General features: G+C 40.9%; 1 long non-coding RNA gene across 1 annotated transcript in view; it reads left to right on the forward strand.

The window, feature by feature from the left end:
- The first annotated feature begins 6,569 nt into the window (after window positions 1-6,569).
- LINC01839 (long intergenic non-protein coding RNA 1839) overlaps window positions 6,570-12,709 on the forward strand; it is a 76,964-nt gene continuing 70,824 nt past the window's right edge. The window contains exon 1 of the long non-coding RNA XR_924788.3: window positions 6,570-6,742. This is a non-coding gene — a long non-coding RNA (long intergenic non-protein coding RNA 1839). The remainder of the gene's footprint in view (window positions 6,743-12,709) is intronic.

The raw sequence follows: 12,709 nt of genomic DNA on the forward strand, positions 1-12,709 counted from the left end.
TTGCACAAAATATATGTCCATAATGAGCATTTTGCTACGACTGCTCCCTGGCTTTAGAAGGGACTTGTGTAAGGGAGGGATCCTGAAGCTTAAGCTACATTATCCAGGTTCTGACATGCAGAGGGTCCGGGGTCCGCTGGTCTGTGTGTATAAAACCTTAACTCCTTGTTGGCCATGTCCTTGGCAAAGGGAACCGCTGCTTCCTGTCGTGGCCACCAGGTGGAGGCGCTCCCTTGGGAACTGTTTGCAGAGGTGCCTCACCCTCCCAGTTCCCTTCCTTGGCATTCTCTGCACCAGTGTGGCTCCCCGCTGTTACCCTCAGGGCCACCTCTGATCTGAGGGAGGAGTGGTCGCTGATGAGGCCTTGTCTGCATCCTGTGGCCTCCCCTTGCAAAGAATAACTCGCAGGGAAAGGAAAGTACAGCAGCTGGAGGCAGCATGTGGATTCTACCTGCATTATACCAAGGAGGAAACTTTTGTTCCCCCAGGCATCCCTGACCTTATAGAAAATTCCACAAGTTAAAAGTAGGTAGGCCGGGTATGGTGGCTTATGCTTGTAATCCTAGCACTTTGGGAGGCTGAAGTAGGCAGATTGCTTGAGCCCAGGAGTTCAAGACCAGCCTGGGTAACATGAAGAAACCCCATCTCTACAAAAAATACAAAAACAAAAAAATTAGCAGGGTGTAGTGGTGCGTACCTGTAGTCCCAGCTACTAGGGAGGCCGAGGTGGGAGAATCACCTGAGCCTGAGGAGGTTGAGGCTGCAGCGAGCCACGATTGTGCCACTGTGCTCCAGCTTGGGCAACAGAGTGAGACTTCGTCTCAAAAAAAAAAAAAGGTAGCTAAATGTTTGGACTAGAAACATATAAGCCCAGGCATGGTAGCTCACACCTGTTATCCCAGCACTTTGGGAGGCTGAGGCGGGCAGATCAACTGAGGTTGGGAGTTCGAGACCAGCCTTATCAACATGGAGAAACCCCGTCTCTACTAAAAATACAAAATTAGCCAGGCGTGGTGGTGCGTACCTGTAATCCCAGCTACTTGGGAGGTTGAGGCAGGAGAATCACTTGAACCTGGGAGGTGGAGGTTGTGGTGAGTTGAGATCGTGCCATTGTACTCCAGCCTGGGCAACAGGAGCAAAATTCCATCTCAAAAACAAAATAAAATAAAATAAAACTTATCTTTAATTCAGATTTAAGAATAGAGGGCATGAAACTCTCGTGTAGGTAGGTGCATCTGGGTTCTGTGCTGTAGGTTTGGAGAGGAAGCTCCCGGGAGGGCCATGGCCCTGTACGTGGTCTCTCTCCTCGCAGCTGTGAGCTCCTGGAACTCAGGACTGATCTTCGTCTATTTGATACCCCTTTATCTAGCATACTGAGGTTCTCGGTGTTTCCAGAATGCATAAGAGAACAGAGTAAGAGGGGGATGGAAAATGAGAGGGAAGGAAGTGGTGAGATATGAAAGGAAAGACTGACACTGATACAACTTCTTCAAAAGAATTCTGGGCTGGGTGCGGTGGCTCATGCCTGCAATTCCAGCACTTTGGGAGGCCAAGGTGGGCAGATCATGAGGTCAGGAGTTCAAGACCATCCTGGCCAACATGGTGAAACCCCATCTCTACTAAAAATACAAAAAAATAAAATAAAATTAGCCAGTCGTGGTGGCAGATGCCTGTAATTCCAGCTACTCAGGAGGCTGAGGCAGGAGGATCACCTGAACCCAGGAGGTGGAGGTTGCAGTGAGCCGAGATCACGCCACTGCACTCCAGCCTGAACGACACAGCAAGACTCCATCTCGAAAAATTACAAACAAACAAAAAAGAATTCTGAGTGTCTACTCTTTTTAGGACTTTAGAAATAAAGAGAAGAGGATATAAAGATAAACAAACAGATGTTCCCACAGTCAGTTAATTCACTCTTTTGTGAAAAAGAAAGATATACAAGTCACCAGGGTACTGGTTTAAAAAACTAACAAAACAGAAAATGTGAAAGAAAATATAAGATCTATAGAGGATCATCAATCCTAGGACTCCAACGTCTATAGTAATTGTAGAAACTAGGAACAGAAACATATAGGGGAGGGAGGAATTTTCCAAATATAAAACAAGAAAACTTGCTAGAACTAAAGAACATTTGACTTCCATCAAAGAATAATGAATGAAAAATAATTTCATCGATTGGGGTATTGGGGTATTGGGCCAAGCATATGACACAGGACTTCCTGGAGGGAAGCCCAGCCTCCTCGCCACCTGGAGATTTTCTGGTGCTCCTAGAATCAAGCATGACTAGTAAAAATATTGAGAATCCTACATGACTCTTGTTCCTTTGTAGGTGACATGTTAGTGTGTTTGTTTATATCTCTGGAATCTTGAAAAGTCTCTGAAACCCCAGCATGTTAAACTTCCATGCTGATGATGTGGGCGTGCCTGGGCAGAGTTATTTGTCATTCATTATTCTTTGATGGAAGTCAAATGTTCTTTGGTTCTAGGAAGTTTTCTTGTTTTATATTTTGAAAATTCTTGCCCCTGCCCCATATGTTTCTGTTCCTAGTTTCTGGGGTTACTATTAGTCAGGCGTTGGAGTTATGAATTGATCCTCTGTAGATCTTATCTTTTCTTTCACATTTTCTGTTTTGTTAGTTTTTAAAATCTATTTTCTCATCTACCAACCCTTCTATTTAAGTTATTTTTCAGTGATTATATTTTTCACTTCCGAGAGCTCTAGGTTGCTTACTAAATTTTCTTATTTTAGAGCTTTCTGTTCTTTTTTGTGCTCGTAATAGTTTCTCAAATTTCTCTGAAAATACAATATGTAAAAAAGTATGTAAAAATGAAGTTTTCTCTTGTTCCCAAGCTATCCTTGTTTTCTTTAGGGTCATTCTTCCTGTTTCATTTTTTTTCTCTCAGCTTTTTGTTTTAAAAATGTTCAAACACACATATAAGTTGAAAGAAGAGTGCAATGGATACTTATATATCCTTTTCTTAATCGTTATTAATTAATATTTTGCCACATTTGCTTTCTTTCTCTCTTTTTGGTTTTTTGGCTGAATTGTTTGAAAACAACTGCAGACATCACAACATTTTACTCCTAAATATTTGTGCATTTCCTTTAAGAATAAGGACATTCTCCTTCAGGACCACAAGATTGTTATCACACCCCAAACACTTAGTATGAATTGAAGAATATTTTCTGTTGTTCTTTCTTTCTTTCTTCCTTTTTGTTTTTTTTTTTTTTTTTTTTTTGAGATGGAGTTTTGCTCTTGTTGCCCAGGCTGGAGTGCAGTGGCATGATCTGGGCTCACCACAACCTCCACCTCCCGGGTTCAAGCAATACTCCTGCCTCAGCCTCCTAAGTAGCTGGGATTTCGGGCATGCGCCACCATACCTAGCTAATTTTGTATTTTTAGTAGAGATGGAGTTTCTCCATATTGGTCAGGCTGGTCTCAAACTCCTGACCTCAGGTGATCCACCCGCCTCGGCCTCCCAAGGTGCTAGGATTACAGGCGTGAGCCTCCGTGCCCGGCTGAAGAATATTTTCTAATATACAATTCATATTTAAGTTCCTCATTTGTGCCCACTGTTACTTTAATAGCATTTGTTTCAGATCCTGGAACCAATCAAGAGTACATATTATAGTTCGCGATTATGTTTCCTTACTCTTTTTTAACCTAGAACAGTCCCCTTCCCCTGCCCCTTACCAATATTTTGGTGGTTTTTTATGTCATTACATTTCTGAAGAGCTCAGGCTAGCTCTCTTGTGGAAATTTCTACACTCTGGATTTATCTAATTGTATAAAGCAGGTTCGGCATTTTTCTAAAGAACACTTCCTAGTTAATTTTAAGATGGCGTGACATCAGGAAGCAGGTGCTTCCTCGTGATTAGATCCCGCCTGTGCACTGTCAGCAGCAACATCACATGCATAAAGCTGCATCCTTTTCAGGGCAGCACACTCAGGGACCCACATGTCCGCCTGCTTTTCATGGCTGATGTTGATTTTGACTACCCAGTCAAGGTGCTGCCTGCTTTATCCACTTATTTTTCCCTTGCAACTAATAAGCCATTTGGGGGGAGAAATGTTAAGACTATGTAGATATTCTGCTCTTCGTCAAACTTTGTACTGTTGATTTATCACCCATTTTCCTGACCTAGGCCATATCCTGCTGGTTGTAAAATGATGGTTTTCAAATTTAACCACTCCCTCTACATTGATCAGCACTTTCTGGCTCTACAAGATGTTCTAGACTCATCTTGTACTTTCCATATCCTAGTCCTAGAATCAGCCACTTCTCCAAGAATCCCTGGTTCTTTGAAGTGGTTGCCTTTATTATTGGAGGATACTTTCACTGGATATTAAATAGGTTATAGGTTGGCAGTCTCCACTCAGCCTTTGGTACTTTGAAGATGTTCCATTGTTTCTTGGCATTATTTATGATGAGGTCAGTGTTTTGTCGTGGTTTCATTAAACTTTTTTTTTTTTTTTTTTGAGACAGAGTCTCACTCCAGCCCAGACTGGAGTGCAGGGGCACGATTTTGGCTCACTGAAACCTCCACCTCCAGGGCTCAAGGAATCCTCCCACCCTAATTAGCCTCCTGAGTAGCTGGGACTACAGGCATGTGCCACCAGGCCCAGCTAATTTTTGTATCTTTTGTAGAGACAGGGTTTCGCCATGTTGCCTAGGCTGGACTGAAACTCCTGGACTCAAGTGATCCACCTGCCTCAGCCTCCCAAAATGCTGGAATTATAGATGTGAGCCACAGCACCCCGTCCTAAACATTTTTTTCGTTCGATGTTTCATTTTTCTCTGACCGCTTTTACAATTGTTTTACTTATCTTCGGTTTTTAGTATTTGAGCTTCTTGGATCTGTGTGGTGATATTTTTTCATTATATTTCTTCAAATACACTTTTTTCCTGCCACAGTGTCTCACCTCCCCTACTGGGACTTCAGTTACACGCATGTTAGACTGCTTAATGTCCCACAGGTCACGAAGGCTCTGTTCACTTCTTTGCAATCTTTTTGTTTCTCTCCGTGATTCACTTTGGATAGCTCTGTTGCCTTCCCTTCAAATTTATGGACTTTTTTTCCTGCAGTGTCTGATCTGCGCTTAAACTCATTCAGTAAATGTTTCACTTCTGATACTGTATTTTCTAATTCTAGAGTATCCATTTTGTCCTTTTCCATAGTTTCCATTTATCTAATCAGTTTCCCCATTTGTTTACTATATTCAGCTTTTCCCTTTAAGTCCTTAACCATATTTGAACATATTTATAATGGATGTTTTAAGATCTGTGTCTGTTAATTCCAGCATCTCTAACATTTCTTGGTTTGTTTTTCTCAACTTTTTTTTCTCCTGATTATGTGTTACATTTTACTGCTAGTTCACCTCTTCAGTGATTTTTTTTTAATTGTATGTGTTACATTATAGACGCTGTGTTGTTGGGATTATGTGGTTTTCCTTTAAAATGTGTTGGGGTTTGTTTTAGCAAGCAATCAATTTACTGGTAGATCAGCATTTTTTTTTTTTTGAGGCTTGTTTTAAGCTATGTTAGGGCTGATTGAGATTACTCCTTTCTTTTACTAGGAATAACCTTAGGAGAGAATAGCTCTATTCCCAAGATGTGGACTTTCTGAAGGTTTGACCAAATTCTGTACTGCCCAGCTACTCTGGCTAGTTGGAACTTCCGTGTCTCTCAGTACTGTGAGAACTCTGTGTAGCTCCCGACTCCCTAACATCTGTCCTCTACCGTGCCTTGCACACGAACGCAGAAATGAGTCTGCATTCTCAGTTGAGTATTTAGCTCAAGACTTAAGGGGAATCCTATGTCGATTTCCGCAGCTCCTTCTCTGTGCAACTCTCTCTTTTCGGTATCCTGCCCCACAACTTTCAGCTGCCTCAGAAGGCTTAAAATCAAATGTCTGCCTTCTCAGCTCAATGAGCTCACTGTGCTGTACTTGGGCTCTGCCTTTCTGTACTGTGGTCTAGAACATGGATCTCACATGGATTTCTCTTTTCACAGGGATCCCGGTTTTGTACTACCTGTTGCCCAATATCTGAAAAAAATTTTATTTATATATGTCATCTAGTTTTTATTGTTTCCAATGGCAAGAAGGCTAGTCCAGTACTAGTCTCTCATGTCTAGAACTGTTAAGAAATTTTAAATGCCAACTACTGTACAACTTTTGAAAAAGCACACTTTTTGAATTCTTATTTCTTCTGTTAGCTTTGGTAAATTTTTTTAGAAAGTTGACTAATTTATCCAAAGTGCAAACTATACTGGTGTAAAGTTGTTTATAATATCCTCTTATTATCTCTTAATGTTTGTAGGATCTGTAGTGATTTCCCGTTTTTTATTCCTGACATTGCTTTTATGTGTATATGTATTTTTTTTTCCTTTTTTCTTGGTCAGTGTTACCAAGAGCTTACTAATCTTTTCATTGAACACTTGGCTTTGTTGGTCTTCTTCTTCCTCCTCCTCCTCCTCCTCTGCCTCCTCCTCCTCTTCTTCTTCCTCCTCCTTCTCTTCCTCCTCCTCCTCCCCCTCTTATTCTTATTCTTCTTCCTCTTATTTTTATTCCATGGATTTCTGCTCTTATATGTATTTTCTATTTTCTCTCTTGTACAGCTATTCTGTTACTAGTTTTTGAGTTGGAAACTTAGATGACTGGTTTTTAGCCTTTCTTCTTTCCTAACATATGCATTCCAGGCTCTACATTCCCCTCGAAATGCTGCTTGAGCTGAATTATGTAAGTTTTGGTATGTTATATTTTCATTACCATTCAGTCTGAAATATTTTACAATTTTTGATGTATTTCTTCTTTGATCCACAGATTATTTAAAAGTATATTGCTTAATTTCCAGGCAATTGGAAATATTTGAATTATCTTTTTGTTATGGATTTTTAAAGCTTAATCCACTATAGTTAGAAAATATGCTCTGAATGGTTTAAGTCTTTTGAAATATATTGGAGAATCTGTTATGGCCTAGCACGCGGTCAATGTTAATACATTTTACATGTTCACTTGAAAAACTACGATAAGTATTTTGTCATTATTGAGTGTAAAGCTCTATATGTATCAACTGGGTCAAGTTTGTTTGTTTGTTTGTTTCCCTTCTTTTCCTCTATGAAGAAGAGTATATAAGCATGAAGACTTTATTGGGTTATTGGGTAATAATTCTGCAATTCCCCTCTCATGAGTGTTAAATAATTTTTATGCCTTTTTCTTTTTTTAATCTGTGTATTGTCAGTTACACAGCAACTGACAAACCTTCAGAGAATAAGGGGAAGCTTTCCTTTCTCTCCTACAAGTAGCACTGAAGAACCAGTTTGTAAAGTTCACATAATTTTTATTGTTACCTTTTAAATAGTTTACAGATTATTCTAAGAAAATCTTTTAATGTATCTCCATGACATTTTATAACACAAAAAAGAAAAATGCTAATTGTATGTATATTATAAAGTTTTACCATCATTTCTAAATTAAAAAGTATTAAATTGAGATCGAAACCACCTTTGCAAAATTATGACACTGAAGCAGTTTCATTGTCTGGGGTGAATACCTGGGGTTCGTCATCTTTTGTTAAGAAAATTTAGGACACAAGGAGTTTAGGAGCGGAGGTTTAATAGGCAGAAGAAAGAGAAAGGAGAACAGCTCTCTCTCTAGTGAGAGAGAGGGGCTCTGGGAAGGGAAAGATGACTGGGTCAAGTTTTTAAGTGTGTTGTTCATACTTTTATATCCTTATCAGTTTTTTTGGTGTGTATACCTTTTCTATCAAGATGTTGAGCGAGAAGTATTAAAATTTTCCTCTATGACTGTGAATTTGTCTTTTTCTCCTTTAGTTCTGCCTAGTTTTCTTTATATATTTTAAAGCTATGTTATCGGCTACATATAGATTTACGACTGTGATGTCTTCCTATTCAATTGGCCACTTTATCATTATGAAATGAACTTATTTCTACTAGAGCTTCATGGCTTAATGTCTACATTGCTTAACATTAGTATCACTATCTTTGGGTAAGCTTTTATGTGGAATATAATATTTCCATCCTTTTGCTTTCAACCATCTGTGTCCTTCTATTTAGTGTGTGTCTTTTGTAAGCAATACTTAATTTTTTTTTTTTTTGACGGAGTCTTGCACTGTCTCCTGGGCTGGAGTACAGTGACGCAATCTCGGCTCACTGCAACGTCCGCCTCCCGGGTTCAATTGACTCTCCTGCTCAGCCTCCCAAGTAGCTGGGATTACAGGCCCTTGCCACCACACCCAGCTAATTTTTTTTGTATTTTTGGTAGAAACGGGGTTTCACTATGTTGGCCAAGCCAGTCTCAAACTCCTGACCTCGTGATCTGCCCGCCTCTGCCTCCCAAAGTGCTGGGATTATAGGTGTGAGCCACCATGGCCGGCCACAAACATTTTTTTTAATTGAAAGGCAGTGACATTGGCTAATAAGCAGTTTTTTGTTTTGTTTTTTTGTTTTTTTTGGATGGAGTCTTACTCTGTCATCCAGCTTGGAGTGCTGGGGCATGATCTTGGCTCACTGCAACCGCCGTCTCCCAGGTTCAAGCGATTCTCCTGCCTCAGCCTCCCAAGTAGCTGGGACTACAGGTGCCTGCCACCATGCCAGGCTAATTTTTTTGTGTGTTTTTTAGTAGAGATGGGGTTTCACCAAGTTGACCAGGCTGATTTTGAACTCCTGACCTCAGGTGATCCACCTCCCTTGGCCTCTCAAAGTGCTGGGATTACAGGCATGAGCCACTGTGCCCAGCCATAAGCCATAGGCAGTATTTTTAAAACCCAGTTTGACAACATTAGCCTTTTACTTGCAATATTTAGTCCATTTGCATTTACTGTTATTCCAGATAAGGTTTGGTTTACAATTACTCTCTGTTTGCATGTTATTTGACACATCTGTTTTATGTCTCTTCTTTTCTTCCTTTCTTGGCTTCTTTTAGATTAATAAAATATTTTTTATAATTATTTTTTCTCGTATTAACTTACAGTTATGCATTCTTTTACTATTCTTTGAGTTTTGCACTAGAGATTATCACATAGGATGACCACTTGATTTTCTTTACTTTGTATGTGATTTGGAATTTTTGCTAACAGAATGTTTTCTTTCTGTTTATAATAGCTTTACTCAGATATGTCTCAGAGGTGGCCATTCTGGTCAATTTTCTTGTGTATATAAATACATTCAACATCTAGATTTAGTCCTTTTTTAATTCCAGAAAGTTTTCTTAGATTATAATTTTCATGGTTAAACACTTTATATTTTATTTTATTTATTTATTTATTTTGAGACACAGTTTCGCTCTTATTATCCAGGCTGGAGTGCAATGGCGCAATCTCGGCTCACTGGAACCTTTGGCTCCCAGGTTCAAGCGATTCTCCTGCCTCAGCCTCCTGAGTAGCTGGGACTACAGGCACCCCAAACCACGCCCGGCTAATTTTTGTATTTTTAGTAGAGACTGGGTTTCCCCTTGCTGACCAGGCTAGTCTCAAACTCCTGACCTCAGGTGATCTCCCCACCTTGGCCTCCCAAAGTGCTGGGATTACAGACGTGAGCCACCACGTCCAGCCAACCTTAACTACTCACGTCCAGCCAACCTTAACTACTTTTAAGTGTACAATTTGATGGGTTTTGACAAATAATTTATAGTTGTGTGATCATTGCCACAATCATTATTGGATTATAGTTTTAAATATTATTTCTGTCCCATCGTTTTGTTTTGCTTTTTAGGCAATTCTAATTATATGTACAGTATATAATTTTTTGTTTATTTTCTATAGCTATCACTTTTTTCTCTGATTGTATTTTACCTGTTTATTTGTTTTTGTTTTCCTGCCTATATCCCTTATTATATTTTCAGTTGAAGGTGAATCTATTTGCCTTTAGGCATCTTGTGATTTAATCTTTATTTCTGAAAAGGTTTAGTTTTTTCTTTTACTTTTTTCCTGAGTTTTATTAACTCACTTCATGAGTTATTTTTGTCCATTTCTGTCCTGATTTTTTGAATTTTGGTGTTCTTTTATATCTGTAAATACCTGTCTAATAATATTTAATTCATATTAGACACTGTGTCATAATTTTCCTGTCTCTTAGTTGTTTTGGCAGGTAAGAAATTCATTAGTTGAAGATAGTAGCCTCTGACTTTCTGTTTTCTTCTCATAGTGGCTTTGTGTAAGTGCTGCATGTCATTTTTGTTTACTCAAAAGTATATTGAATTTTTCTGGCCTATCAATAACAAGTGTTTCTTTGTGAGATGGGGATGAAGGACTTGAGTGGCTTACTAAGATTCTTCGTTCAAGAATGCCCTCTTCTATTGGTACCGTGAAGTTCAATTTTCATGAATAGATGGTGCTTTTGTGAGAGAGAGGTTGGTATGTCTTTTGATTCTGATTCTCTTTTGTTTCTGTGCGACTCTGGCTTTCCACCAGTTTGTTCCTTTCTTTTCTTTACCTCTCAGTTTCTTTACCTTCTACGTTGATTTCCTCTCCCCAGACGTGGTGACTTTCCAAGACTGTACTTCCAGTCCTGTGCACTTCCAAAGCCTCTTCCTCGGGGCTCCTCAGCAGCTAGTGCTGACTCACCAGATCTATTCTCAGTACTTCTCCACTCAAGATGAGTGGATCGCAGACCTAGTAGTTTCCTCCACTCATTGTAGCATCCTACATGGAGTGATTTGAGGAACTGCTAGAAGATTTCGAGCAGAGAGAAGTGATTTTATTTGACTTGTGTTTTGAAGGGATGACTCTGGCTGATGGGTGAAGAACAGATTGGGGAGGGGCAAGGATGGAAGCAGAAAGTGTAGCTCGGGTGGCTATTACAATAATCTACATGAGAAATAACAGTGGCTTTGATTGGGATAGTACTAGTAGACGTCATGAGATTTTGGATTTTTTTTTTTTTTGGAGACAGAGTCTCCTTCTGTCGCCCATGCTGGGGTGCAGTGGCGCTATCTCAGCTCATTGCAACCTCCACCTCCCGGGTTCAAGTGATTCTCCTGCCTCAGCCTCCTGAGTAGCTGAGATTACAGGCATGCATCACCATGCCTGGCTAATTTTTGTATTTTCAGTAGAGATGGGGTTTCACCATGGTGGCCAGGCTGGTCTCGAACTCCTGACCTCTAGTGATACACCTACCTCAATTTATTCTTTAAGTGTAGGAGTGTGTGACTTCACTCTTGCTGGGCATCGCCTTAGGTGCTGTTTATAATGTGGTATCTTATCGCTACAAAGAGCCCGTTTTGTCAATCTTATGATCTGTATTTTAACATTAATGCTGGTTAGTTGTATCTAAACTGCAAAAGGGAGGGGATATAATAGAGCTTGTCCAACCTCACATTCCATCATGGCCAGGAACTCGGTTTTAAGGTTTTTCTGGGGTCCTCTTGGCCAAGAGGGTGTCTATTCAGTCAATGGTGGGAGGGAGGAGAAGGCCTAGAATTTTATTTTTAGTTTGCAACGGAGGAACTTCTGAACTATTCAACAGGCAGGCAGGGCAGGCCTTGGACCATCTATTTCACTGCTGAGTCTGGAATTGGTAGAGTGTGTATGGAAAGGAGGACCTCAGGGAGCAGATCCAGCCACTCAGTGGACAGGGTTTAGCTTGAGCAAAGCGGGCTATGGTCCACAGTGGAGCTAGTCCTGTAAAGACACTAGGCAGAGTCTTGGGGCCAACTGCAGGGGCCATGAAGCAGAGCTCACACCCAGGTAAGGCCCTGGGGGTAGGTGATTGTGACTTGTGGGTGACCAGGTGGCAGGCCCTGGGGCAGTTCCCTTCAGAGCCAAGGCCCACCAGGTCGGGAGACTGCAGGCTGTCACTTGTGGGCTGGTCCTTTTGGGATCTAGAGCTGCAGTGGGCTCAGCAGGGGATGCAGGGAGCTTTGGCTGCAGGAAAGGAATTATCATATAAGGATACTGGCAGATTGCATGGAACCTAAGGATAGGAAGAGACGGGCCCTCGGGAGGATTAGGGAACTGGAAGGCAGGCACCAAGTTCCTTTCTCTCATTGTGGTGCCTATGCATCCTCTGTCTCCCTGGCTCTGCCAGATCTCTCCAGTACTCTTCTGTCTGCCTGGGTCGCTACCCTTTCCTTTCTCTTAGCTTTCTCTACTTTGCCTCAGGCCCAATAAAATCTGCCTCATTCTCTGAGATCTACAGGTGAAGGGCCCATGGAGTTTATCTCAGTCTCATGAGAGGGAACCAGTTGGTAACATCCACACCCCATGCATTTTGCATCCTCATATTGGGGACCAGGCAATCAGTTTGAGAGGTGACCTTGTCCAGTCATGGCCCCCAGGGTTGTGGGAGAAGGAATCTCTAAGAAGAGGGCATGGTCAGGAGAAACGATGAGTGGTTTTAGTTTTTGATCCACTTCGGGCAGTTTGCAGAGTAAGAATCTCTGCCCAGGCCCCACTGGGTTCACCAGCTTAGAATCCCTTTTACTGTCTTATTAAATTAACTTTTATTTTGTCGTAGCTTTTTGTAGACATATCAATTACATCAATAAGATGCATCCATTTTAAGTGCATAATTCAAAAAGGAAAATCACCCAGGAAAAGCAGAGCTCGTGTGTTCATCTGTTTCCTGTTGGTTATAGCAAAACACCTGAAACAGGAAATTTATAAAGAAAAGAAATTTATTTCTTACAGTTCTGGAGGCTAAGTTCAAGACTGAAGGGCCACATCTGGTGAGGGCCTTCTTGCTGGTG

This window comes from Homo sapiens, chromosome 3 (assembly GCF_000001405.40).
Source record: "Homo sapiens chromosome 3, GRCh38.p14 Primary Assembly".
Classification (NCBI taxonomy): Eukaryota; Metazoa; Chordata; class Mammalia; order Primates; family Hominidae; genus Homo; species Homo sapiens.